This window comes from Homo sapiens, chromosome 19 (genome assembly GCF_000001405.40).
Source record: "Homo sapiens chromosome 19, GRCh38.p14 Primary Assembly".
Lineage (NCBI taxonomy): Eukaryota > Metazoa > Chordata > Mammalia > Primates > Hominidae > Homo > Homo sapiens.
The window spans coordinates 16,794,560-16,821,793 of NC_000019.10; the positions used below are offsets into that span (position 1 = coordinate 16,794,560).

Here is a 27,234-nt window from a genome sequence, read left to right on the forward strand (position 1 = left end):
TTTAGCTCTCATTTGGAGTAGTGAGGAAGCTAATCAGGATCAGGTTGGAGAAGGGGGTGGGGCTTGGGAACAGAGAGAAGTCCTAGGGCCAGAGGTTAGCAACGTTTTCTGCCAAATGGCCTCATAGTAAACATTTTTTGCAGTCCAGACGAGACAACCTCAGTTGCAAAGACTCAACTCTGCAGTTGTGGTACATAAACTAGCATAGACACTATTTTTCTATTATTTTTCTTTTTTTTTTAAATAGGGTCTTGCTGTGTCACCCAGACTGGAGTGGAGTGGCTCAATCATAATTCATTGCAGCCTTGAATTTCTGGGCTCAAACGATCCTCCCACGTCAGCTTCCTGAATAGCTGGGATTACAGGCACACACCACCACACCCAGCTAATTTTTGTATTTTTAGTACAGACGGAGTTTCACCATGTTGGCCAGGCTGGTCTCGAATTCCTGACCTCAGGTGATTCGCCCACCTTAGCCTCCCAAAGTGCTGGGATTACACAGGCGTGAGCCATTGCGCCCAGCCCTTTCTTTCCTTTTGATGCAGGATTTTTCTTGGCCTCTTTGCCAAGCTGGGAGCAGGGGGCACCCCATTTATTCAGCCTGTGGGGTCACATCTGGCTTTTGGCCCAGCCCGCGGCTCCCATGGCCACTGCCACGACTGAGCACTCAGCCCCTAGCAGGAGGGAGCATGTGAGCAAGTGAATGTAGGGTCCAGCTGGCTGCTTCAAGCACTGACACAGGGCCAGGCTCCATGCAGGGCCCATGGGCAGACCAGGCCATGTGTCACCCCAAAGGAAACACAAGGGGTCCACGACCCTGAAGCCCCAGAGGGGGTGTTACAGTGTGCTAATTACCTTTTTTTTTTTTTTTTTTTGAGACCGAGTCTCGCTCTATTGCGTAGGCTGTAGTGCAGTGGTATGATCTCAGCTCACTGCAACCTCCACCTCCCGGGTTCAAGCGATTCTCCTGCCTCAGTCTCCCAAGTATCTGGGATTACAGGCACCTGCTACCACGTCCCGCTAATTTTTGTATTTTTAGTAGAGATGGGGTTTCATCATGTTGGCCAGGCTGGTCTTGAACTCCTGACTTCAGGTTATCTGCCTGCGTCTGCCTCCCAAAGTGCTGGAATTACAAATATGAGCCACCACACCTGGCCTAATTTGCTCTTTTAGTTCCACCATCTGCAACCCAATGGATGGTGGCATGTTAGCAGTTCAGTCAGCCCCTTTCCCCATTCTGGCCTGCAGTTCTGGGACTGGCTTGGCCCCACCACTGCTTCTATTGCGTGGAGCAGCTTCCCTCTGCCATCAAGGACAGAGGGCCACAGTGTCACAGCCTTCCTGGGTACCTGCATCCAGTGAGTCCTAAGCTCTTGTCCCGTGTCCAAGAAGAATGAGGTCATGCTGACAATTGAAAAGTGATAAGGACAGAGAATTTTATTGAGCAACAAAACAGCTCTCAGGGGAGAGGGGATGTGAAGGTTGGGTCATCTCTCTCAGTGTGGCTGAGTCTGGGCGTTTTTATAGGCACAGGATGGGGGAGGGGCAGGTGGTAGGTAGTATTGGAAAACGTAACATTCAATTGGTTAAAAAGCATTATTCAGGCCAGGTGCAGTGGCTCACGCCTGTAATTCCAGCACTTTGGGAGGCCAAGGTGGGCCATCACCTGAGATCAGAAGTTCAGATCAGTGAACTTCTGATCTGAACTTCTGATGATCATGGTGAAACCCTGTCTCTACTAAAAATACAAAAATTAACTGGGCATGGTGGCAGGCGCCTGTAATCCCAGCTACTCGGGAGGATGAGGTGGGAGAATTGCTTAAACCCAGGAGGTGAAGATTGCAGTGAGCCAAGATCATGCCACTGCCACAAAAGTCTTATTCAGAAAGAATCAATCAGGAAAGGGTGGGCAAACAGGAACAGGAGTTCTCACTCTGGGTTGTGGATTTCATTTGGAAACAGCAGCCCAGGCTGTTTTTGGTTCAAAGGTACAGTTTCACTGGGGACCCATTCCTATCTGCCTAGGCATTTGCCTGCCTCCTGCCGCTATCCCTTCCTTTCTCCCTTCTTACTTTCTTTCCTCTTCTTCCTTCCTTCTTCCCCTTCTCATTTCTCTCCTTCCTCCCTTCCTCTTTACTTTTCTTCCTCTCTACCTCCTTGACTCTCCTCTCTCCTTCCTCCCTTCCTTCCATCATAGTTATCAAAGGCCTGCTGTGTGCCCAGCTTTGTGCTAGTTTCTGAGATACCATGATGAGCCAAATAGGCAGTCCCTGCCCTCCAGGAACTTACAGTTTCATTATAATAACTTTACAAGTTTCCTTAAGATGAGTGATTACTGGCTGGGTACGGTGGCTCAGGCCTGTAATCCCAGCACATTGGAAGTCCGAGGTGGGCGGATCACTTGAGATCAGGAGTTTGAGACCAGCTTGGCCAGCATGGTGAAACCTGGTATCTACTAAAAAATACAAAATTTAGCCAGGCATGGTGGTCAGCACCTACAAGCCCAGCTACTCAGGAAGCTGAGGCAGGAGAATCGCTTGAACCCAGGAGGCAGAGGTTGCAGTGAGCCAAGATCATGCCACTGCACTCCAGCCTCAGTGACAGAGCGAGACTCCATCTCAAAAAAAAAAAAAAATTGATGAGTGATTACAGAAGTCAGGCCCTCCCCCAACCAGCTGTGGGCTATGTGCAGATGGGGACAGGACTGAATCCACCTTCCCCGTCCTGGATCCCTTCTCCTGGCACCTAGCAGGGGTTCCAAAACATCTCTTTTTTTTTTTTTTTTTTTTGAGACAGAGTCTGGCTCTGTTGCCCAGGCTGGAGTGTAGTGGTGCAATCTCAGCTTACTGCAGCCTCTGCCTCCTGGGCTCAAGCAATTCTCCTGCCTCGGCCTCCTGAGTAGCTGGGATTACATGCATGTGCCACCACACCTGGCTAATTTTTGTATTTTTAGTAGAGAATAAAATACATGAAACATCGGGGTTCACCATGTTGGCCAGGCTGATCTCGAACTCCTGACCTCGAGTGATCTGCCCGCCTTGGCGTCCCAAAGTGCTGGGATTACAGGCATGAACCACCACATCCGGCCTCCAAAACACCTCTGTTGATGGAAGGAATGACCCTCAATCTCCTCTGGACATGAGAGGTGTAACCCCAGTTCCTGCCGTTTCAGGCTTTGGAAGATCGGTGCGGATATTCTTGGCGGACTCGAGGGGCTTTCGCCGATTCATGGCCATGGATCTGGAACATGAAGACATGGTGGAGACGGCTGTTTTTGGTACTGAGAACAACCTGATCATCACGGGGTCCCTTGATGCGCTCATTCAGGTGAGGGGAGATCTGGGACCCTTCATCCTCACCTCCACCTCGGGAACAGACACTGATTCTTTAGGGATTTTTGGCTGCAAAATACAGACACCCACAAAAATGAGTGCAGGCAAAATAGGTGAGTTCATTGGGAGGATATGGGGGTGTATCCTCCGCCCCAGTGGCAGACCTGGGTGAGAATTACTGAAATGTTCAACAAAGGAGGTAGCATTCCCAAACTGATCCTCAAACCTTGGGGGCAGATTTGTGCCTTCAGAGTGGAGCAGGGTTGTGGGGGAGGAAAATTCTCAATTTAAGTTCAAAGTTGTCCAAGCTGGAGAGAAAAGTAGATGGTGAAATAGCAGATCTTCAGTGTTTTAGTCTCAGGCCTCTTGAAGTTCTCTTTTTTTCCCCCTCCTTCTTATGAGCTATTTTTTCCAGTTTTAAAGAAATTGATAAATAGACTGTGCACAGTGGCTCATGCCTGTAATCCCAGCACTTTGGAAGGCCAAGGCAGGTGGATCACTTGGGCCCAGGAGTTCGAGACCAGCCTGGGCAACATAGCAAGACCCAATCTCTACAAAAAAACACAAAAATTAGCCGGGCGTCATGGCATGTGCCTGTAGTCCTAGCTACTCAGGAATCTGAGGTGGGAGGATCACATGAGCCTGGGAGGTAGAGGCTGCAGTGAGCTGTGATTACGCCACTGCACTTCAGCCTGGGTGACAAAACAAGAACCTGTCTCCAAAAAAATAAGAATAATTTTCTTTATTTTTTGAGACCAAGTCTCACTCAGTCGCCCAGGCTGGAGGGCAGTGTGGCATGATCTCAGCTCACTGCAACCTCGACCTCCTGGGTTCAAGCAATTCTCCTGCCTCAGCCTCGCAAGTAGCTGGGATTTCAGGCACCCACCACCATGCCTGGTTAATTTTTGTATTTTTAGTAGAGACGGGGTTCCGCCATGTTGGCCAGGCTGGTCTCAAACTCCTGACCTCAGGTGATCAGCTGCCTTGGCCTCCCAAAGTGCTGGGATTACAGGCGTGAGCCACCATGTCTGGCTAGAATAAAATAATTAAAAAAAAAAAAACATTAAAAGTTTTGAGCTTCCAGACCCTCTAAAAAAGGTTTACAGGGCACCCTCTAAAAAAGGTTTACAGGGCACCCTCCAGGAGTTCCCTGGAACACACTTTGGGAACTGCTCTGGAAGCTGATGGGTTCAAGCCTGAGTAAGTTAAAGGAATGGGAAGATGTGAAGGCCCTTGAACTTACAGCCTGAAAATTCACCTTAGGTTTATGAATGGGCTGAAGTGTATTTCTTATTTTCTTATTTATTTATTTTTATTTTTATTTTGACGGAGTCTCACTCTGTTGCCAGCCTGAAGTGCAGTGGCGCAATCTCAGCTCACTGCAATCTCTGCCTCCCAGGTTCAAGTGAGTCTCCTGCCTCAGCCTCCCGAGTAACTGCGATTACAGGTGTGCACCACCACGCTTGGCTGATTTTTGTATTTTTAGTAGAGATGGGGTTTCACCATGTTGGCCAGGATGGTCTTGATCTCCTGACCTCATGATCCACCCGCCTCAGCCTTCCAAAGTGCTGGGATTACAGGTGTGAGCCACTGCACCTGGCCTATTTATTTATTTTTATTTTTATTTTTTTTGAGACGGAGTTTCATTCTTGTTGCCCAGGCTTGCGTGCAATGGCACGATCTTGGCTCATTGCAAACTCCACCTCCCGGGTTCAAGCGATTCTCCTGCCTCAGCCTCCTGAGTAGCTGGGATTACAGGCATGCACCACCAAGCCTGGCTAATTTTTTGTATTTTTATTAGAGATGGGGTTTCTCCATGTTGGTCAGGCTGGTCTCGAACTCCTGACCTCAGGTGATCCACCTGCCTCAGCCTCCCAAAGTGTTGGGATTACAGGCGTGAGCCACCGCGCCTGGCCCAATGGGCTGAAGCGTATTTCTGAACTATAGTTGTCCACAGAAGATGTCAGATCTGCCCTCCTGTTCTGCTTCCTCAGGTGTGGAGTCTGTCAGAACAGGGGACCCTTCTGGACATCCTGGAAGGCGTCGGGGCCCCCGTGAGCCTGCTGGCCCGCGGCGGGGCTTTGGTGGCATCTGCTTCCCCACAGTCCTCATCTTTCAAGGTCTGGGATCTCAGCGATGCTCATAGGTCCCGGGTGCCTGCACCATTTCTGGACCGCACCGGCCTCACCGCAGTGTCCCACAATGGAAGCTACGTCTACTTCCCCAAAATTGGGGACAAAAACAAAGTCACTATTTGGGACTTGGCAGAAGGTTGGTAAGGTATAAGTATGGTCATTTTTGTGGGTAAGGCTTGGAGCCATCTGTCTTAGTTTAGGCTACTGTAACAAATCATCCCCACAGGCTGGGCCCCATGGCTCACGCCTGTAATCCCAGGACTTTGGGAGGCCTTGGCGGGTGGATCACCTGAGGTCAGGAGTTCAAGACCAGCCTGGCCAACATGGCAAAACCCTGTCTCTACTAAAAATACAAAAGTTAGCCGGGCATGGTGGCACATGCCTGTATCCCCAGCTACTTGCGAGGCTGAGGCAGAATTGTTTGAACCTGGGAGGCGAAGACTGCAGTGAGCCGGGATCCTGACTCTGCACTCCGGCCTGGGCGACAGAGTGAGACTCTGTCCCAGAAAAATAAAATAAAATAAATTATCCCCATAGACTGGGTGGCATAAGCAAGAAACATTATTCCTCAACATTCTGGAGGCTGGGAAGTTCCAGATCAAAGTGCAAGCAGATCTCGTGTCTGGTGAGGACCCGTTTCCTGGTTCACAGATGGCCATCTTCTTGATGTGTCCCCAGAGAGAGAGAGAAATCTCTTGTGTCTCTTCTTATAAGGGCACTAATCCTATTCAGGAACGCCCCACATTCATGATCTAATCACTTCCCTGTCACTCTGCTACAGTTCGGAGGTTTGGCCCTACAAACCAGATGTTGGCATTTAATATCCGGCTGGCCATGGTGGCTTAAACCTATAATCACAGCACTCTGGGAGGCCGAGGCAGTAGGATTGTTTGAGCTTAGGGTTCAAGAACACCTGGGCAAGATGAGAGGATGCCATTTCTACTAAAAATTTAAAAAATAGCTGGATGTGGCCAGTCATGGTGGGTCACACCTCTAATACCAGCACTTTGGGAGGCCAAGGCAGGCAGATCACTTGAGGTCGGGAGTTCGAGACCAGCCTGACCAACATGGAAAAACCCCACCTCCACTAAAGCAATACAAAATTAGCTGGGCGTGGTGGTGCATGCCTGTAATCCCAGCTACTCAGGAGGCTGAGGCAGAAGAATAGCTTGAACCTGGGAGGCAGAGGTTGCAGTGAGCCGAGATCACGCCATTGCACTCCAGCCTGGGCAACAAGAGCAAAACTCTGTCTCAAAAAAAAAATTAGCTGGATATGGTGGCATGTGCTTGTTGTTCTAGCTATTTTGGGGGCTAAGGTGGGAGGATCGCTTGAGCCTGGGAAGTTGAGGCTACAGTGAGTCATGATCGCACTACTGCACTCCAGCCTGGGTGACAGAGTGAGACCCTGTCTCTAAAAACAAACAAAAAAGCCAGGCGTGATGGCTCACACCTGTGATCCCAGCACTTTGGGTGGCTGAGGTGGGCGGATCACTTGAGCTCAGGAGTTTGAGACCAGACGTCTCTACATAAAAGACAAAAATTAGCTCGGTGTAGTGGCTCACATCTGTAGTCCAAGCTACTTGGGAGGCTGTGGTGGTAGGATCACTTGAGCCCAGGAGGCAGAAGTTGCAGTGAGCTGAGATTGTGCCACTGCACTCCAGCCTGGACGACAGAACAAGACCCTGTTTGAAAACAAAACAACAATAAAAAAAGAAATTTAATCCCCAGTGTTGGAGGGAGGCCTCACGGGAGGTGTTTGAGTCATAAGGACACATCCCTCGTGGATAGATTAATGCCCTCTCCTGGCAAGGCAGTGGTGGTGGTGAGTAAGTTCTAACTCTGTTAGTTCTCGCGAGGTTGTTAAAAAGAACCTGACCCCAGCTACTCAGGAGGCAGAAACAGGAAGATTGCTTGAGGCCGGGAGTTCAAGACCAGCCTGGGCAACATGGACCTTGTCGCAATAAAAATAAAAATAATGGCCGGGCATGGTGGCTCACGCCTGTAGTCCCAGCACTTTGGGAGGCTGAGTTGGGTGGATCACGAGGTCAGGAGCTCAAGACTAGCCTGGCCAACATGGTGAAACCCCATCTCTACTAAAAATACAAAAATTAGCCGGACGTGGTGGCGGGCACCTGTAATCCCAGCTGTTCAGGAGGGAGGCAGGAGAATCGCTTGAGCCCGGCAGGCAGAGGTTGCATTGAGCACCATTGCACTCCAGCCTGGGTGACAGAGCAAGACTCTGTCTCAAAAATAAATAAATAAATAAAAATAAAAATAAAAATAATGAGCTGGGCATGGTGATATTCACCTGTAGTCTCAGCTACTTGAGAGATGGAGGCAGGATGATCGCTTGAGCCCAGGAATTTGAGGCTGCAGTGAACTGTGATTGCACCACTGCACTCCAGCCTAGGTGACAGAGCAAGACCCTATCTCAATTAAAAAAAAAAAAAAAAAAAAAAGGAAGCTAGCACTTCCCTCTCTCTTGCTTCCTCTGGCCGTATGACCTCTGCACACCCCAACCCCCTTCACCTTTTGTATTAAGAAGAAGCAGCCTGGGGCCCTCACCAGAAGCAGAAGCTGGCACCATGCTTCCTGTACAGCCTGCAGAACAATGAGCCACATAAACCTCTTATTCATAATTATGCATTACTGTATTAGTCTGTTCTCACACTGCTAATAAAGACATACCTGAGGCCGGGCCTGCTGGCTCACACCTGTAATCCCAGCACTTTGGGAGGCCAAGGCAGGCGCATCATTTGAGGTCAGGTGTTCGAGACTAGCCTGGCCAACATGGTAAAACCCTGTCTCTACTAAAATTCCAAAACTTAGCCAGAAATCGCTTGAACCCAGGAGGTGGCAATTGCAGTGAGCCAAGATCTTGCTACTGCACTCCAGCCTGGGCAAGAGTCAGACTCTGTCTCAAAAAAAAAAAAAAAAAAGACATACCTGAGACTGGGTAATTTGTAAAGGAAAGAGGTTTAATGGACTCACATTTGCACATGGCTGGGAAGGCCTCACAATCATGGCAGAAGGCAAATGAGGAGCAAAGTCACGTCTTACATGGTGGCAGGCAAGAGAGTGTGTGCAGGGGAATTGCCCTTTACAAAACCATCAGATCTCATGAGACTTATTCGCTACCACAAGAACAGTATGGGGGAGACTGCCTCCATGATTCAATTATCTCCAGCTGGCCTCGGCCTTGACCTGTGGGAATTATTGCAATTCAAAATGAGATTTGGGTGGGGACACAGCCAAACCATCTCAGTTACCCAGCCTCAGGTAGTCCTTCATAGCAACACCAACAGACTTAGACAGGCCCCAGCTCCTAATACCATCCTATGGGGAGTGAGGATTTTGACATAGGAATTTGGTGGGGGGGTGGGGACACAAATCTTCAGTCCATAACATTCCTATAACTTCAATCAGGTAGAAAGTAGCTAGTCAAAAACAGGTTTTCATTAGCAACACCAATGAACTAAGACAGGCCCAAGCTCCTGATACCATTCCACAGAGGGTGATGATTTTAACATAGGAATTTGTCAGGGGGACACAAATCTTCAGTCCATAACACGCCTATAACTTCAATCAGGTGGAAACTAGCTAGTCATGGCCAGGTGTGGTGGCTCACACCTGTAATCCCAGAACTTTGGGAGGCTGAGGTGGGCGGATCATTTGAGGTCAGGAGTTGGAGACCAGCCTGGCCAACATGGCGAAACCCCAACTCTACTTAAAAAAAAAAAAAAAAAAAATTATCTGGGCGTGGTGGTGTGTGCCTGTAATCCCAGCTACTGGGGAGGCTGAGGCAGGATAATTGCTTGAACCTGGGAGGTGGAGGCTGCAGTGAGCCAAGACCATGCCACTGCACTCCAGCTTTGGCAACAGAGTGAGACTCCACCACCCGAAAAAAAAAAGAAAAAGAAAGTAGCTGGTCAAAAACAGGATTTCATTTTATACATTTTCTGCATGAGGTAGTTGGCAATCTGGTTGTTTCCGTTTGGCCTGTTTTAATTCAGGTTACCTAGAAGCTGAATCTGTGATGAGGATATTTGCACAAGTGATGTATTGAGGGGTGTTTCCAGGAGAACCCCAGAGGGAGATGAGAAAATGGGGCTGGCGGGGGAAAGGGTTGAGCAAGAATGCAGGCTCAGCTAAAGTCCCTCTCAGCATCATTCCATGGGGAGCCCTGGAAGAGGTAGAGCACCAGTCTTAGTCAATTCCGGCCACTATAACAGAATGCCATGGATTGGGTGGCTTAGAAAGAATAGCAAATGGGGCCAGGTGTGGTGGCTCATGCCTGTAATCCCAGCACTTTAGGAGGCTGAGGAGAGAGGATCACTTGAGGCCAGAAGTTCGAGACCAGAAGTTTGAGACCAGCCTGGGCAACATAGTGAGACCCCACCTCTACAAAAAAATTTAAAAGGTATCGGGCTTGGTGGTACATGCCTGTAGTCCTAGTTACTCCAGAGTCTGAGGCAGGAGGATTGCTTGAGCCGTGGAGTTCAAGGCTGCAGTGAGCTATGATAATGCCACTGCACTCCAGCCTGGGCAACAGAGACCCTGTCTCTCTGTTTTTTTTTTTAATTTAAAGAAAGAATAGAAATTTGTTTATCATATTTCTGGAGGAGGCTGGGGAGTCCAAGATCAAGGTGCCAGCAACTTTGTTGTCTTGGGTTAAATTAATTTTTTTTTAAATTTGGTATCTGGTGAGTGTCCTCTTTCTGGGTCATGGATGGCCAGATTTTCTTTGTCCTCACATGGTAGAAAGGGGCAAAGAAGCTCCCTGGGGCCTCTTTTTTTTGTTGTTCTGTCTTATTTAAGAGTCAGGGCTCACTCTACTGTCTAGGCTGGAGTGAAGAGGTACAATGACGGCTCAGTGCAGCCTCGAACTCCTGGGCTCAAGCGATCTTCCTGCCTCAGCCTCCTGAGTAGCTGGAACCACAGGTGCACCACCATGCCTGACTCCTGGAGACTTTAAAATTTTTAAAAATATTTATTTATTTATTTATTTTTATTTTTATTTTATTTTATTTTTGTTGTTGTTCTTTTGTTTGAGATGGAGTCTCGCTCTGTCACCCAGGCTGGAGTGCAGTGGCGTGATCTCAGTTCACTGCAACCTCCGCCTCCCGGGTTCAAGCAATTCTCCTGCCTCAGCCTCCCGAGTAGCTGAGATTACAGGTGTGCAGCACAATGCCTGGCTTATTTTTGTATTTTTAGTAGAGATGGGGTTTCACCGTGTTGGCCAGGCTAGTCTCGAACTCCTGACCTCAAGTGATCCACCTGCCTCGGCCTCCCAAAGTGCTAGGATTACAGGTGTGCACCACTGTGCCCAGCCAAATTTTGTGTGTTTTGTAGAGATAAGGTCTCTCTATCTTGCCCAGGGTGGTCTTGACCTCCTGGGCTCAAGCAATCTGCCTGCCTCAGCCTCCCAAAGTGCTGGGATTAGAGGCGCACACCACCATACCTGGTTAATTTTTTTAATGTTTTTGCAGAGGCAGGGGTCTCACTCTTTTGCCCAGACTGGTCTTGAACTCCTGGTCTCAAGCCATCCTCTCACTTCAGCCTCCTGAATAGATGGGATTACAGGCATGAGCCACTGCACCTGGCATCTCTCCATTTCCTTGGGCCCTGGTTCACCCTGCAACCAGCAAACAAGCACCTCGAGAATTGTAACCTCACTTGATTTGCTCCCTGCCAACCCCCAGAGCTTTGCCTAGTGGGCTGTTACTCTAAAAATGTTTGCCAAATTAACGACTGAATGAAGTTGAGAATCAGCTTGAAAATCAGGATTCCTTTCTCCTATTATTTCATCATTAACAAGGAGTTTCTTTTTTCTTTTTCTTTCTTTTCTTCTTTTTTTTTTGAGAGGGAGTTTCCATCTGTTGCCCGGGCTGGAGTGCAGTGGCGTAATCTTGACACACTGCAACCTCCACCTCCTGGGTTCAAGCGATTCTCCTGCCTCAGCCTCCCTTCCAAGTAGCTGGGATTACAGGTGCCTGCCACCACGCCTGGTTAATTTTTGTATTTTTGGTAGAGACAGGGTTTTGCCATGTTGGCCAGACTGGTCTCAAACTCCTGACCTCAGGTGATCCATCCACCTCGGCCTCCCAAAGTGCTTGGATTACAGACGTGAGTCACCACGCCCTGCCATTAACAGGAGTTTCTATACCTCTATCCTCCCAGCAGGACTGTGCCAAGTACTGTTGGTGAGAAACTCAGAAATCCCTCACTGTCCAATTCTCGCAGACCCAGCAGTGCCCCCACCTTCATTTTACTCCTGGGAATTGCCCACTGATGAAAGAAGCCTCTCAACTGGAAATGGCAGGGGGATGTGGCCACCGCCCCTGAAATGGCCCCAGTCAATGACTGCCTGATGTGGGAATACAAAAGTCTGGCCCCCTTGCTTCAAGATGGGACAATTCATGGTGGCTCATGCCTGTAATCCCAGTACTTTGGGAGGCAAAGGTGGGAGGATCGTTTGAGCCCTGGAGTTCAAGAATAGCCTGGGCAACATGGTAAAATCCCATCTCTACAAAAATTAGCTGGGCGTGGTGGCCCGAGCCTGTAGTCCCAGTTACTTGGGGGGCTGAGGTGGGAAAATCACTAGAGCCTGAGAGGTTGAGGCTGCAGTGAGCCATGTTCGTGCCACTGCACTCCAGCCCGGGCAACAGAGTGAGACTCCGTCTCTTAATAAATAAATACATAAATAGGCTGGGCGCGATGGCTCATGCCTGTAATCCCAGCATTTTGGGAGGCCGAGGCGGGCGGATCACTTGAGGTCAGGAGTTCAAGACCAGCCTGGCCAATATAGCGAAACCCCGTCTCTACTAAAAATACAAACAAATTAGCTGGGCGTGGTGGTGCGCACCTCTAGTCCCAGCTACCCGGGAGACTGAGGTGGGAGAATTGCTGGAATCTGGGAGGCAGAGGTTACAGTGAGCCGAGATTGTGCCACTGCGCTCCAGCCTGGACAACGAAGCCAGACTCTGTCTAAAAAAAACAAAAAATAAAAAAATTAGTAGGGCACAGTGGCAGGCGCCTGTAGTCTCAGCTACTCAGGAGGCTGAGGCAGGAGAATCACTTGAGTCCAAAAGTTGGAGGCTGCAGTGAGCTTCAGTCTCGCCACTGCACTCCAGAATACTGTCTCAAAAAAAAAAAAAAAAAGAAAGAAAGAAAATATGAACACCAGGCCGGGTGTGGTGGCTCACGCCTGTAATCCCAGCACTTTGGGAGGCCAAGGTGGGTGGATCACCTGAGGTTGGGAGTTAGAGACCAGCCTGGCCAACATGGAGAAACCCCACCTTTACTAAAAATACAAAATTAGCTGGGCGTGGTGGCACACACTTGTAATCCCAGCTACTCGGGAGGCTGCGGCAGGAGGATTGCTTGAATCCAGGAGGTGGAGGTTACGGTGACCTGAGATCGTGCTATTGCACTACAGCCTGGGCAACAGAGTGAGACTCCATCTCAAAAACAAAACAAAACAAAAAAAACCACCAGGGAAGCAGGGCTGCTGTGATTCACTCTCAGTGTAAGTCATTCTCATTTTTCTTCCCTGGCAGGCGAGGAACAAGATTCCCTGGACACCTCCAGTGAGATCAGGTGTCTGGAGGTTGCTGAGCAGCGCAAGCTCCTATTTACGGGCCTCGTGTCGGGGGTCGTCCTTGTGTTCCCCCTGAATTCCAGGCAGGACGTGATATGCATTCCCCCTCCCGAGGCCCGGAAAGCAATCAACTGCATGTCCCTGAGCAAGTGCGAGGACCGCCTGGCCATCGCCTATGACAACATCGTCCTGGTGCTGGACATCACCTCCGGGGACCCCTGCCCGGTCATCGATGGGCCAAGATACACCTTTTACACTCAGCTGCCCGAGACCCTCTCCAGCGTGGCCATTCTGACGGACTACCGCGTGGTCTACAGCATGACCAATGGGGACCTCTTTCTTTACGAGTGTGCAACTTCCAAAGCGTTTCCCTTGGAGACCCACAGGAGCCGAGTTGCCTGTGTGGAGGTCAGCCACAAGGAGCAGCTGGTGGTCAGCGGGTCTGAGGATGCCCTGCTGTGTCTCTGGGACCTGCAGGCACGCAAGTGGAAATTCGAGATGAGCTACACGGTGGGTGGCCCGCCTCCCCATGTTCATGCTAGACCCAGGCATTGGAAAACTGATAGATAGCCATCATTTACTAAGCACACACCATGGGCCATCGACCAGGATGGGACTGGGGTGATGAAAATGAGGCACTTGGTCAGGCGCAGTGGCTCACGCCTGTAATCCCAGTACTTTTGGAGGCTGAGGCAGGCGGATCACCTGAGATCGGGAGTTCAAGACCAGCCTGGCCAACATGGTGAAACCCCGTCTCTACTAAAAATACAAAAATTAGCCAGGTGTGGTGTTGCATGCTTGTAATCTCAGCTACTTGGGGGGCTGAGGCAGGAGAATCGCTTGAAATTGGGAGGCAGAGGTTGCAGTGAGCCAAGATCACGCCACTGCACTCCAGCCTGACTACAGACACTCCGTTTAAAAAAAAAAGAAAAGAAAAGAAAAGAAAAGTGAGGCATTTGTCTCAGAAGCAAAGTTTTTTTTGTTTTCATTTTTTTTTTAAAGAGACAGGGACCCCACTGTCACGAGGCTGTAGTACAGTGGCACAATCATAGCTCATTGCAGCCTCAATCTCCTGGGCTCCAGTGATCCTCCCGCCTCAGCCTCCCAAAGCACTGGGATTTCAGGCATGACCCACCGGACCTGGCTACAAAGTTCAAAGGAGTACCAAAAAGCTCAGCAATGGTAGGCCAGGTGCAGTGGCTCACCCGGCACTTTGGGAGGCCCAGGAAGGAGGATCACTTGAGGCCAGGAGCTGGAGACCAGCCTGGGCAACATAGGGAGACCTTATCTCTACAAACAAATGCAAAAATTAGCTGGGCATGGTGATGTGCACCTGTGATCCAGCTACTTGGAGGGCTGAGGCGGAAGGATTGATTGAGCCCGGATGCCACTGCTCTCTAGCCTGGGTGATAGAGCAAGGCCTGTCTCAAGAAAACAAAAAACAAAAACTCAGCAATGAAGATAAATAATTTTTTTTTTTTGAGATGGAGTCTTGCTCTGTCACCCAGGCTGGAATGCAGTGGCGCCATCTCAGCTCACTGCAGCCTCCCGGGTTCAAGCAACTCTCCCGCCTCGGCCTCCCAAGTAGCTGGGATTACAGATAAGCACCACCATGCCCAGCTAATTTTTGTGTTTTTAGTAGAGAAGGGGTTTTGCCATGTTGTCCAGGCTGAACTCCTGGCCTCAAGTGACCTGCCTTGGCCTCCCAAAGTGCTGGGATTACAGGTTTGAGCCACTGCACCTGGCCAAGAAGTAATATTTTAATGCAATATTTTTAAAAATCTAAAATGAATACCAAAATTCCATGAAGAACAAAATCTCAACATTATAGGTAAAAACTGGATCAAATCCTGCACTGGCTTAGTGCTGCTTCACTCTCTTCACCCTAATCCTGGCTCTGTGCTATTTCTTTTTTTTTTTCTTTTTCTTTTTCTTTTTTTTTTTTTGAGATGGAGTCTTGCTCTGTCACCCAGGCTGGAGTGCAGTGGTGCGATCTCGGCTCACTACAAGCTCTGCCTCCCGGGTTTATGCCATTCTCCTGCCTCAGCCTCCCGAGTAGCTGGGACTACAGGTGCCCGCCACCACGCCTGGCTAATTTTTTTGTATTTTTTTGGTAGAGATGGGGTTTCACCGTGTTAGCCAGGATGGTCTCAATCTCCTGACCTCGTGATCCGCCCACCTTGGCCTCACAAAGTGCTGGGATTACAGTCATGAGCCACCGTGCCTGGCTGCTCCGTGCTATTTCTTTATCCAACTGATACTTATTGAAAAACCTCTGCCAGGACCCCTTTCTATCACAAGGGTTGCTTTTCTATCACCCCTTTCTATCTGCCTGGTCACAGGGAGACTCTATCCCATGTCTTGGAGCCACTTTGTAGTTGGGAAGACACAGTGAGCTCTGTCTGGGCAAAAGGATTTTTTTGTGTGTGTGTTTTGCTCACTGAAGTTTCCCTTGTTCCTAGGAGAACTCCTGACATTTCCTTGATGCTCAATAAATGGCAAGGGCTGCTGCTTAAGAAAGCCATGTAAGGCTGGGCACCATGGCTCACACCTGTAATCCCAGCACTTTGGGAGGCTGAGGCGGGTGGATCACCTGAGGTTAGGGGTTCGAGACCAGCCTAGCCAACATGGTGAAACCCTGTCTCTACTAAAAATACAAAAATTAGCCCTGCATGGTGGTATGTGCCTGTAATCCCGGCTACCCGGGAGGCCGAGGCAGGAGAATCACTGGAACCTGGAAGGCAGAGGCTGCAGTGAGCCGAGAACACGCCACTACACTCCAGCCTGGGCGACAGAGTGAGACTCCATCTCAAAAAAAAAAAAAAAAAAAAGAAAGAAAAAGAAGGCCTTGTAAGTCTAGATTAGGCACAGCAACTCATGCCTGTAATCCCAGCACTTTGGGAGGCCGAGGCAGGGGGATTGCTTGAGCTCAGGATTTCAAGACCAGCCTCAGCAACACAGCAAGATCCCATCTCTAGAAAAAAAAATTAGCCAGGTGTGGAGGTGTGTGCCTGTAGTCCCAGCTAGTTAGGAGGCTGAGGTGGGAGGATCGATTGAGCCCTGGAGTTCGAGGCTGTAGTGAGCTATGATCTCGCCACTGCACTCCACCCTGGATGACGATACAAGATTCTGTCTCTCGAGCAAAACTAACTAATAAACAAAAATGAAGAAATTAACATGTGAACAGTACTATTAATTAAACTGTCAACCTTATGGGAATTTTTTATTTTTTGTTATTTATTCATTTATTTATTTTTGAGGCAGGGTCTTACTCTGTGAGCCAGGCTGTAGTGCAGTGGTGCAATCATAGTTCACTGTAGCCTCCGCCTCCTGGGTTCAGGTGATTCTTCCACCTCAGCCTCCTAAGTAGCTGGGACTACAGGCATGTGCCACTGCACCTGGCTAATTTTTTAATTTTTTGTAGAGACAGGGTTTCACCCACCCACCTTGGCTTCCCAAAGTGCTGGGATTACAGGTGTGAGCTATCACATCCAGCCTTTATTGGAATCTTACCAGCTTTTCAATTCATTCCTTTTTTCCATTCTAGAATCCAATCCAGGATTCCATGTGAGATTAGCACATAGCTTTTAATTAAATACAATCATAGCTAACATCCGTATAACCAAAGTAATTTAAGAAATTGAATCCCCATCGAAAAAAGAAATTGAATCCTATGGCCAGGCACAGTGGCTCATGCCTGTAATCCTAGCACTTTGGGAGGCTGAGGCGGGTGGATCACTTGAGGTCAGGAGTTCGAGACCAGCCTGACCAACATGGTGAAACCTCATCTCTCATAAAAATACAAAAATTAGCCGGGCATGGTGGTGCATGCCTGTAATCCCAGCTACTTGGGAGGTTGAGGCAAGAGAATCGCTTGAACCCAGGAGATGGAGGTTGCAGTGAGCCAAGATCGTGATATTGCACTTCAGCCAGGGCAACAAGAGCGAGACTCTGTCTCAGAAAAAAAAAAAAAAGAAAGAAAGAAAGAAAAAAGAAAAGAAAAGAAAAAAGAAATTGAGTCCTACAATTGTTCCTTTCAGTGCAAAATGTATCTAAACCTTTCTATCCAATCTCTATGGAGGTGTGCCTGGGTTGGGGTAGTATCTGTGCTGCTCATCTCTCCAGGTTTTCATTGGATCCATCCCCCTGTGGGGCGCTTCAAAGCCTGGTTCTGAGGTCAGGAGTTTGGGACCAGCCTGGCCAACATGATGAAACCCCTTCTCTACTAAAAACACAAAAATTAGTTGGGCATGGTGGCAGGAGCTTGTAGTCCCAGCTACCTGGAAGGCTGAGGCAGAGGAATCGCTTAAACCCAGGAGACGGAGGTTGCAGTGAGCCGAGATCAGGCTACTGCACCTCAGCCTCAGGAACAGAGCGAGATTCCATCAAAAACAAAAACAAAAAACAGGCATAGTGGCTCATGCCTGTAATCTCAGCACTTCGGGAAGCCGAGGCAGGCAGATCACTTGAGGTCAGTTCACCACCAGCCTGGGCAACATGGTGAAACCCTGTCTCTACTAAAAATACAAAAATTAGCCAGGTGTGGTGGCACACACTTGTAATCCCTGCTACTTGAGAGGTTGAGGCAGGAGGATAGCTTGAAACCAGGAGGTGGAGGTTGCAGTCAAGCCGAGATGGCATCACTGCACTCCAGCCTGGGTCAGACCTGTTAAAAAAAAACAAAAACAAAAAAAAGGCCTGGTTCCTTGGGGCTGGTTTCCTGGGTGTCTTTCAGTTTGGAATCAAGATCATATTGTCTGGGTCAGGCACGTTGGCTCACACCTGTAATCCCAGCACTTTGCGAGACCAAGGCTAGTGGATCACCTGAGGTGAGGAGTTGGAGACCAGCCTGGCCAACATGGTGAAACCCCATTTCTACTCAAAATACAAAAATTAGCCAGGCATGGTGGCTCATGCCTGTAATCCTAGCTACTTGGGAGGCTGAGGCAGGAGAATCGCTTGAACCTGGGAGGTGGAGGTTGCAGTGAGCTGAGATCACACCACTGCACTCCAGCCTGGGCAACAAGAGTGAAACTCCATCTCAAAAACAAACAAACAAACAAACAAACAAACAAAAAACCCAAGAAAAAGAGAGATCATATTGTCTGTTTTCAACAGAGTTCTTACTGCAGAGGGGTCCAATGTGCTTGCTTCTCCAAGGATGACAAGTATGTGTACGTGGGCTTAAAGGATCGCTCTATACTTGTTTGGAGTGTGCTGGATGGTGAGTCATTTTGCTTTTAGGGCAGGATTGAGCTTCGATCTGGAGAGAAAAGGCTCTGACCTGGGTCCTGGGCATTAGAGGGCCCTGCTCTGGCCACCTCTAGCTGCATCCCTTAGCTTTTAGGAAGGTGTCTGCAGGCAAAGGCAAAGGGCCCACAATCCCTCTTCTAGACCCATGCTCTGGAGTTCGAGAACTCCCTCCCTTGAGTTTTCATTAGGGCATGCACAGGCTTCCTGCATACAGCCATCCTTCCGAGGATAGACTGGGCTCCTGGTGTGTGCACTTCTGGGCTCAGGAGTAGCCATGGGGTGGTATGGATGGAGTTTGGGTGTCTGAGTTGGTTGTGAGATGGAGCTGAGAAGAGTGAGAAGAGGGTCAAGTCACTAGTAGTGGGGGGCTGGTTACATCACTACATTCCAGCATAGAACCCTGAGGAGCCCAAGAATTCTCAATCTGTTTCCAGGTGTTTGTGAAGGTTCCTTCATCAATATAAGAGGACACAGCATATTCTATTTAATAGTTTATTCCCTAGAATTGCAATGTTTATATATGGTGTCTTCTTGGATGTGGGTCTTATTTCATTCTTTGCCCCCGCCTTATAGATGTTAGAAGCAGCCTGTTTTTGTTTTTTGTTTTTTGTTTTTGAGATGGAGTCTAGCTCTGTCACCCAGGCTGGAGTGCAGTGGTGCAATCTCAGCTCACTGCAGTCTCTGCCTCCCAGGTTCAAGTGATTCTCCTGCCTCAGCCTCCTGAGTAGCTGGGATTACGGGCGCCCACCACCACACTCAGCTAATTTTTGTATTTTGAGTAGAGGTAGGGTTTCACCATGTTGGCCAGGCTGGTCTTGAACTCCTGACCTTGGGTGATCCACCCACCTCGGCCTCCCAAAGTGCTGGGATTAGAGATGTGAGCCACCATTCCTGGCCAGAAGCAGCCTGTTTTAAGACCAACCACTTTGGAAACACCGTGTCTCTTGGTCTGTTCAGTATTATGCTAAGGTCTTAGCAAGAGTTAACACTGGCTGGGTGCAGTGGCTCAAGCCTGCAATCCCAGCACTTTGGGAGGCCGATGTAGGAGGACTGCTTGAGGCCAGGAGTTCAAGACTAGTCTGGACAACATAGCGAGACTCTGTCTCTACAAAAAAAAAAAAATTAAAAATTATCCAGGCATGGTGGTACATGCTTGTAGTCCCAGCTACTCAGGAGGATAAAGTGATCATGGGAGGTCGAGGTGTGGGAGATTGAGGCTGCAGTGAGCCATGATAGCACCATTGCACTCCAGCCTGGGCAACAGAGTGAGACCCTGTCAAAAAAAATGAGTTAACATTTTTTGTATACTGGGTACTGTCCTTAAGTCATTTAACTCTCTCAACACTCACTCCCATTTACAGAGCAAAAACTGAGGCTCTGAGAGGCTGGCAGACTTGCCTAAGGTCACACAGTGAGTAACTAGTAGGCTTAGGTTTGAGGCTGACCTTCCTGATTTCAGTACGCCTTTGTCACTTTCTTACACTGTCTCCTATAGAAAAGGCGCTCATTGTGTATTATCTCTTTGAACCCTTATGACACTAGTAGGAGATAAGTATCATTGCTATCCTTGTTTGACAATGAAGAAGCTGAGGATCAGAGAGGTTAGGAGACTTGCCCAAGGTCACAAAACAAGTAAGTGGCTGAATAAATATCAGGTGGAGCCTACTACATTGTAGTTGAATACACTGTAATCTGATACATAGTAAACTATAACACTATTATACATTGTAGTATAATATGCTGTAGCAAAGATATATACAACTGGTATAAAGTTACAGATGGCTCAGAAGATGAAGGTTGAGGACTGTGGCCTTAAAAGCCCATCCTGGGCCAGTTCACAACCTCTCTTCCTTCTCCTCCTTCAACAATAATATTTACTGAGCTCACTCTGGGCCAAAAACCTACACTAAGCACATGACCTGCATGATGCCTTTCAATCTTAAAAATCGCCCTGAGCAGGTGTAGGTTCTGTTATCATTCCCATTGTGCAGATAAAGGAAGAGGGACTCTTTGGCATAATAAATGTCATGCCAAAATTAGTAGAGGGCATAGCAGGAATTTTATTCCATGCAGCCAACTCTGGAATGTGTAGGATTGGACCTCTACACCCCATTTTTCTCATTTGTGTCCTTCTCTTCACCCTTACAGGCACCCTGCTGACAGTCCAGTTTGTCCATGCTGTGGTAAACAGAATCATCCCAACCACCAGTGGCTTCATTGCCCCCACCAGGCATGGTTATCTGATCCGAGAGAATTTCCAGTGCCTTTCAGCAAAAGCCTCACCGCAGGACCCTCTTAAGAACTTCAAGAAGGCAATGTGGATGGTCAAATCCAGGCAGAGAGAGGAGCTAGTTGCAGCTGCAGGAGCTCCCCAGGACTTGGAGTCAGAAAGTGCCCAGGGAAATGAAACCAAATCAAACAAATGCTCACAAGTGTGCCTGATAGTGTAAAAAAATAAAAATAAAAAAACCCTGTGGGGGTATGGGGCTCCAGTGAGTTAGCCCCATTTAATCTAGTTAAAGCAAAAAGAATACGTTTGCTGGTGTATATCTGGACCCATGGCTTCAGATTATGGCTTCAGACCTTGTCTCTTCTCATCTTTCCATTATTCTTTCCTCTTTTTCATTTTCATTCTCAGACTTGCCACCCCCAGGTTAGCAACATGGTGGCCAATATGCTGCTGTCTCCAATTTCAATAGAAAAGAGAGCTTCTCTTTCCCAACAGTCCTAGCCTCAACTCTACTGGTCCCAATTGGCCCATACGCCTAGCCCTAAACCAATTATTATATCTGGGAGAATGCAGAGCTCTAATCGGCTAGACTGATCCAATGTCCACCACTGGGACTGAGAATAGAAGAGATTACTCCTGAGATGCAAACTGGAGTTCTGGTACCAGATGAAGGGGGAACGGATGAATGTGAGATACAGCAAATCACTGATGTGGACCACAGAACCTCACAGTTTATAAAGCTGTAGGTGCTGTCATCTGATCCTCATCACAACTCATACTTTAGGGAGGGCAGGAGTTTCTGTATCTATTTTACAGATGAGGAAACTGAGCCTTGCGGAAGTAGTTATAATTTGATTCAGGTCACAAGTCCAAGGTGCAAGAGCTCTGAGAGTGAGCCTTCTGTCCCATTCCTGTTAGACCTCACTCCAATTTCAGTCTGCAGAGCACAACCATCTCTTCCACAGGCACCACACTCAAATGCTCACAGGAGCTAGTGACTAATCTAGACACTTCCATGCACCTGGGTGAGCAGCAGGGAGAGACAGAGACTGGACATGTGGAAGGCAGAGATTGTGTCTAGGGTGGGTATGAGCAGCCTGACTGTAGCCCAGAATCACCATGGCCAAACAAGCCCACTGCTGTCAGTGCTTCCAGTTGTAATAAGCAAAGCCAGAAATCCAGACTTTTATGCAAAAATGTTCTGACTTTTAAAGTTGGCGATTGGTTGAATTTATATCTATAGTGCATTTGGCATGTGCGTCTTTGGTTAATGAGCTGACTTCAGGACTCACGCTGGCAGTAAAACAATCAACATGTTATAGTTCATCCCTCTCTATTCCTTGGCTCCCAAACTTTTGGGATAAAGATGTGGGTTTTTAATCTTAAAAACTGGAGGCTCTTGGAAGTAGAAAGAGCTGCTGATCTCTCCCTGCTTTGCTTTTGAACTGTCTGCCTTGTGCAAGTTCAACAGTCAAACTGTTTTCATTCCACTTAAGTGGATCTTTCTTCTTTGCCCACAGCCTTCTAAAAGCCCTTCTCAGTCTTCTCAGGCTTTTACTTTAATGCTAGGATAGTCTAAATCTTCAAGGTGGCTATCCCTTCTCCCCTCCGTGGAATTCCTGATAGAGTCTCAATAAAAGCAACCTTAGAAACAGAGGCTTTTGAGCTGAACAAGACCCTACTGCTGTCTTATTCATCCATTTTCCAAACCAGTTTTCCAAGGCAGGTTTTGGTAGTTCTGCAAATGTTAGTGTCAAATTTCATTTAAAAATATTTTAAACTGTAATTTTAAGATGTATGCTTGGATGTATTGGGCAGCAGCTTCTAAGGTGTTGAAGATTACTAAGGTTGGTGCAAAAAGTAACTGTGGTTTTCGCCATTAAAAATATTAAAAATAATGGCAAAAACTGGCTGGGCACAGTGGCTCACACCTGTGGTCCCAGCTCTTTGGAAGGCCGAGGCAGGTGGATCACCTGAGGTCAGGAGTTTGAGACCAGCCTGGACAACATGGTGAAACCCTTCTCTACTAAAAATACAAAAATCAGCCAGGCATGGTGGTGAGTGCCTGTAATCTCAGTTACTCAGGAGGCTGAGTCAGGAGAATCACTTGAACCCGGGAGGCGGAGGTTGCAGTGAGCTGAGATTGTGCCACTGCACTCCAGCCTGGGTGACAGAGCAAGACTCCATCTCATAATAATAATAATAATGGCAAAAGCCTCGGTGGCTCACGCCTGTAATCCCAGCACTTTGGGAGGCTGAGGCGGGTGGATCACTTGAGGCCAGGTGTTCAAGAGCAGCCTGGTCAACATGGTGAAACTCTGTCTCTACTCAAAAATACAAAAATTAGCCTGGTGTGGTGACGTACACCTGTAATTCCAGCTACTTGGGAGGCTGAGGCAGGAGAATGGCTTGAACCCGGGAGGCGGAGGTTGCAGTGAGCCGAGATCGCACCACTGCACTCCAGCATGAGTGACAGAGACTCTGTCTCCAAAAAAAAAAAAAAAAAAAAGTAATGGCAAAAACCACAATTAATTTTGCATCAACCTAATAATTTAGGATTCTTCTGCCATTTTCATTTAACTGATTTAACTGAAGAGCCCAATTAAATTGTGAAGGGAGCCCTGAAAAAATTAGCTACTCTTTGCCACTGCTTCTCTGTGAATCAAGGGCTTACCCAATGCAGAAATAAAGTAGATGTTGAGACCAATTAAGATTTCACCTACAAATTCTGATTTTAAATGCCTGTGTCCATCTCCACAGCCTCAGTGAGAATTGATTGTTTTGTAGATAAATCCTAATTTAAACATTGGAAATGCCTTTTTACTAATAAAATGCTACAACAAATTATTGCTTATATTGGGAGTTTTTGCAGTGTTTATTCATTTGAAAAAGAGTTTGGTTGCTAAGAAAGTTTGACAGTTGGCTGGTCAATGCTTGTAATCCCAGCACTTTGAAAGGCCAAGGTAGAAGGATCACTTGAGCCCAGGAGTTTGAGACCCTGTCTCTCCAAAAAAAAAAAAAAAAATTTTTTTTTAATTAGCTGGGCATGGTGGTGCACACCTGCAGTCCTAGCTACTCAGGGGGCCAAGGTGGGAGGATCACTTGAGCCCAGGAGATCAAGGCTGTAGTTAGCTATGATCGCACCACTGCACTCTAGCCTGGGCAAGAGAGTGAGACCATGTCTCAGAAAAAAAATAAAATAAAATTAAGGGATGCCGAAAAGCTCAGCAATCATGACAAATAATGTTTTCTCTCTCTTTTTTTTCTTGTTTTCTTTTCTTTTGGAAGACAAATAATATTTTGTTATCTTTTTTTTTTTTTTTTGTCAAGGCCTTGCTCTGCTGCCAGACTAGAGTGCAATGGTGCGACCTCGGCTCATTGCACCTCTGACTCCTGGATTCAAGCGATTCTCCTGACTCAGCCTCCTGAGTAGCTGGGACTACAGGCCACCACGCCCAGCTAATTTTTGTATTTTTTGTAGAGACGAGGTTTTGCCATGTTGGCCAAGCTGGCCCTGAACTCCTGACCTCAAGTGATCTGTGCTCCCTTGGCCTCCCAAAGTGCTGGGATTACAGGCATGAGCCACCGTGTGTGGCCTATTATCATATTTTTAAAAATCAAAATGAATTTAAAAATGAATGATGAACAAAACATCAACATTCTATATAAAATTGGTATCTGACCCTGCATTTGCAGGAACTGACCTCACCCTCTTCCTGGCCCTGGGGACATCAAGACACCTCACCCCTACATACATCAGACAAGTGTCTTAGGAAGGTCATATTCCTATATAAGCACACACACCTGTGAGAATTACTAATTGTTAGTTAATATCTTTTTTATTTTTCAGAGAGGGTCTCTCTCTGTCGCCCAGGCTGGAGTGCAGTGGTATGATCATGGGTCACTGCAGCCTTGAACTTATGAGCTCAAGTGATCCTCCTGCCTCAGCCTCCCAAGTAGCTGAAACTACAGATGTGCACAACCATACCTGGTTAATTTTTAAATTTATTGTAGAGAGGGTGTCTCACTATATTGCCCAGGCTGGTCTCCAACTCTTGGGCTCAAGCGATCCCCCCAGTGTGCTGGGATTACATGGCGCCTGGCCATCAGAAATATTTCTAATCTGGCCCTTTACCAAAATATATATATATATTTACCAAATATATACGTGTCTATATATATACATGCACATATATACACATATATACACACACATATATACACATATATATACACATATACATATATACGTATATATGTGTGTATATACACACATACATATGTATATATGTATATATACACATACATATGTATATATGTATATATACACACACATATGTATATACATATGTGTATATGCACATATATACATACACACACACACACATATACTTATGTATATATGCCTACCCTTGGTCTTAAAGCTTGGCTAAATTTAGGGTAAACATCTTTTATATAGGCTTTCTTTTTTTAGAGTAGTTTTAGGTTCACAGCAAAATTAAGTGGAAGGTGCAGAGATTTCCCATCTACCCTATGCACCCCTCATGCACAGCCTCCTCCATCAACATCCCTCACTCTAACAAACGCAGAGCGGTGCATTTGTTACAATGGATGAACTCGCATTGACACTTCCTTATCAGAGGAGAGACAATTTTTTTTTTTTGAGACGGAGTTTTGCTCTTGTTGCCCAGGCTGGAGTGCAATGGTGCGATCTCGGCTCACTGCAACCTCCGCCTCCCGGGTTCAAGCCGTTCTCCTGCCTCAGCCTCCCAAGTAGCTGGAATTACAGGTGTACGCCACCACACCAGGCTAATTTTTGTATTTTTAGTAGAGACAGGGTTTTGCCATTTTGGCCAGGCTGGTCTGAAACTCCTGGCCTCAAGTGATCCACCCGACTTGGCCTCCCAAAGTGCTGGGATGACAGGCATGAGCCACTGCAACTGGCCCAGGATAGACATTTTTGACAAGTATACTTCATAGGTGTGTCCATTCTCCATCACTACTTAGTAAATTATTGCAAAGTTAGAAGCTTAAAATAACATCCACTTCTTATCTTACAATTTCTGCAAGTCAGGAGTCTGGGCATGGCATGACTGGATTCTTTGTTCAGGATCTCACAAGGTGTCAGCCGGACTGGGCTCTCATTGAGAGCCTCAGGGTCTTCATCCAAGCTCCTTCAGATTCTTGGCAGAATTAAGCCCTTCAAAGCTATAGGAGTGGAGACCTCAGCTGCCCCTCTCCATAGGCAGTTTGCAAAACAGCTGCTTCCTTCTTCAAGGCCAGCAGCATTGTATTTCTCTGATGCTTCATCTCTGACCTCAAACTCAGACTCAGACTCAGACTCAGATTGTCTTTTAAAAAAATTTTTTTTTGGCCAGGTGCAGTGGTTCACACCTGTAATCCCAGCACTTTGGAAGGCCCAGGCTGGCAGATCATGAGGTCAAGAGATACAGACCATCCTGGCCAACATGGTGAAACCCTGTCTCTACTAAAAATGCAAAAAATTAGCTGGGCATGGTGGTGCGCGCCTGTAGTCTCAGCTACTCAGGAGGCTGAGGCAGGAGAATCAGTTGAACCCAGGAGATGGAGGTTGCTGTGAGCCAACATCATGCCACTGCACTCTAGCCTGGTGACAGAGTGAGACTCTGTCTCAAAAAACAAAAAAAATTTTTTTAGAGATGAGGTCTTGCTGTGTTGCCCAGGCTGGTCTCAAACTCCTGGCCTCAAGTGATCCGCCTGCCTCTCAAAGTGCTGGGATTACAGGTTTGAGCCACTGCACCTGGCCCAGTAGCACCTTTTTATGTTTGATAAAAATAAGAATATCCAGCCTAGGCAACTTAGTGAGACCCTGTCTGTAAAAAAAATAAAAATAAAAAATTAGCCAGGCATGGTGGCACGTACCTGTAGTCCTGGCTACTCAGGAGGTCAAGGCTGCAGTGAGCTGTGATTGCACCATTGCACTCCAGCCTGGGCAACAGAGCGAGTACCTGTTTCAGAAAATAAATAAATGGAAATAAAATTAAAAGATGTCTTTGTACTATTGTCCTCATGATAAATATACACATGTGTGCACATACATACATGTACACACATGCCCCAGATGGAACTGGCTTGTGGTTTTGTCAGAGGCGTTTGAAACAAGCTTACTCCATCTAGAATAGGGGCTGGGTAAAATGAGGCTGAGACCTGCAGGGCTGCATTCCCGGGAGGTTAGGCATTCTAAGCCACAGGGTGAGGTAGGAGGTGGACGGAAGACCCAGGTCACAAAGACCCTGCTGATAAAACAGGATTCTGGGGCGGGGTGGGGGTCGGGGGGCATTGTTTGTTTGTTTGTTTTTGTTTTTGTTTGAGACAGAGTTTCGCTCTTGTTGCCCAGGCTAGAGTGCAATGAATGGCGCGATCTTGGCTCACTGCAAACTCTGCCTCCTGGGTTCAAGAGATTCCCCTGTCTCAGCCTCCTGAGTAGCTGGTATTATAGGCACATGCTACCATGCCTGGCTAATTTTTGTATTTTTAGTAGAGACGGAGTTTCATCATATTTATCAGGCTGGTCTCGAACTCCTGACCTCGGGTGATCCACCTGCCTCGGCCTCCCAAAGTGCTGGGATTACAGGCGTGAGCCACTGCGCCCGGCCCATGCAGGGTTTTTGTTGTTGTTGTTGTTGTTGTTGTTTTTGAGACAGA

At 47.6% G+C, this 27,234-nt stretch overlaps 1 protein-coding gene and 1 long non-coding RNA gene across 11 annotated transcripts in view, besides 1 other annotated feature; one reads left to right on the top strand and one right to left on the bottom strand.

Annotated features, from left to right (window-relative positions):
• The window catches only part of NWD1 (NACHT and WD repeat domain containing 1), a 98,117-nt gene extending 74,713 nt beyond the window's left edge, over positions 1 to 23,404 (top strand). For 5 of the 10 annotated variants that reach the window (XM_011527929.2, XM_011527930.3, XM_011527931.3 and 2 more), the window contains 5 exons: positions 3,173 to 3,327; positions 5,327 to 5,603; positions 13,027 to 13,577; positions 18,186 to 18,291; positions 20,469 to 23,404. In XM_011527929.2, coding sequence (XP_011526231.1) covers positions 3,173 to 3,327; positions 5,327 to 5,603; positions 13,027 to 13,577; positions 18,186 to 18,291; positions 20,469 to 20,770 — 1,391 coding nt within the window. In that variant the 3' untranslated portion in view covers positions 20,771 to 23,404. Of the gene's footprint in view, positions 1 to 3,172; positions 3,328 to 5,326; positions 5,613 to 13,026; positions 13,578 to 18,185; positions 18,292 to 20,468 lie in introns of those variants that run through there. The other 5 variants (NM_001290355.3, XM_024451466.2, NM_001007525.5 and 2 more) reach the window with 5 other exon arrangements.
• LOC124904648 (uncharacterized) lies at positions 1,420 to 26,673 on the bottom strand. The gene is made up of 3 exons (XR_007067150.1): positions 26,632 to 26,673; positions 26,452 to 26,537; positions 1,420 to 3,401 (listed from the first exon to the last, which is right to left on the bottom strand). It is a non-coding gene; the product is annotated as an uncharacterized LOC124904648 (long non-coding RNA).
• Positions 22,921 to 23,117: a silencer, noted in NCBI's record as "fragment chr19:16928291-16928487 (GRCh37/hg19 assembly coordinates)". NCBI's record gives its function as "represses an EF-1alpha promoter that drives an FKBP-Casp9 reporter gene in an ReSE screen in K562 erythroleukemia cells {active_cell/tissue: K562}" and the evidence as "EXISTENCE:reporter gene assay evidence [ECO:0000049][PMID:32094911]".
• Positions 26,674 to 27,234: the final 561 nt, after the last annotated feature.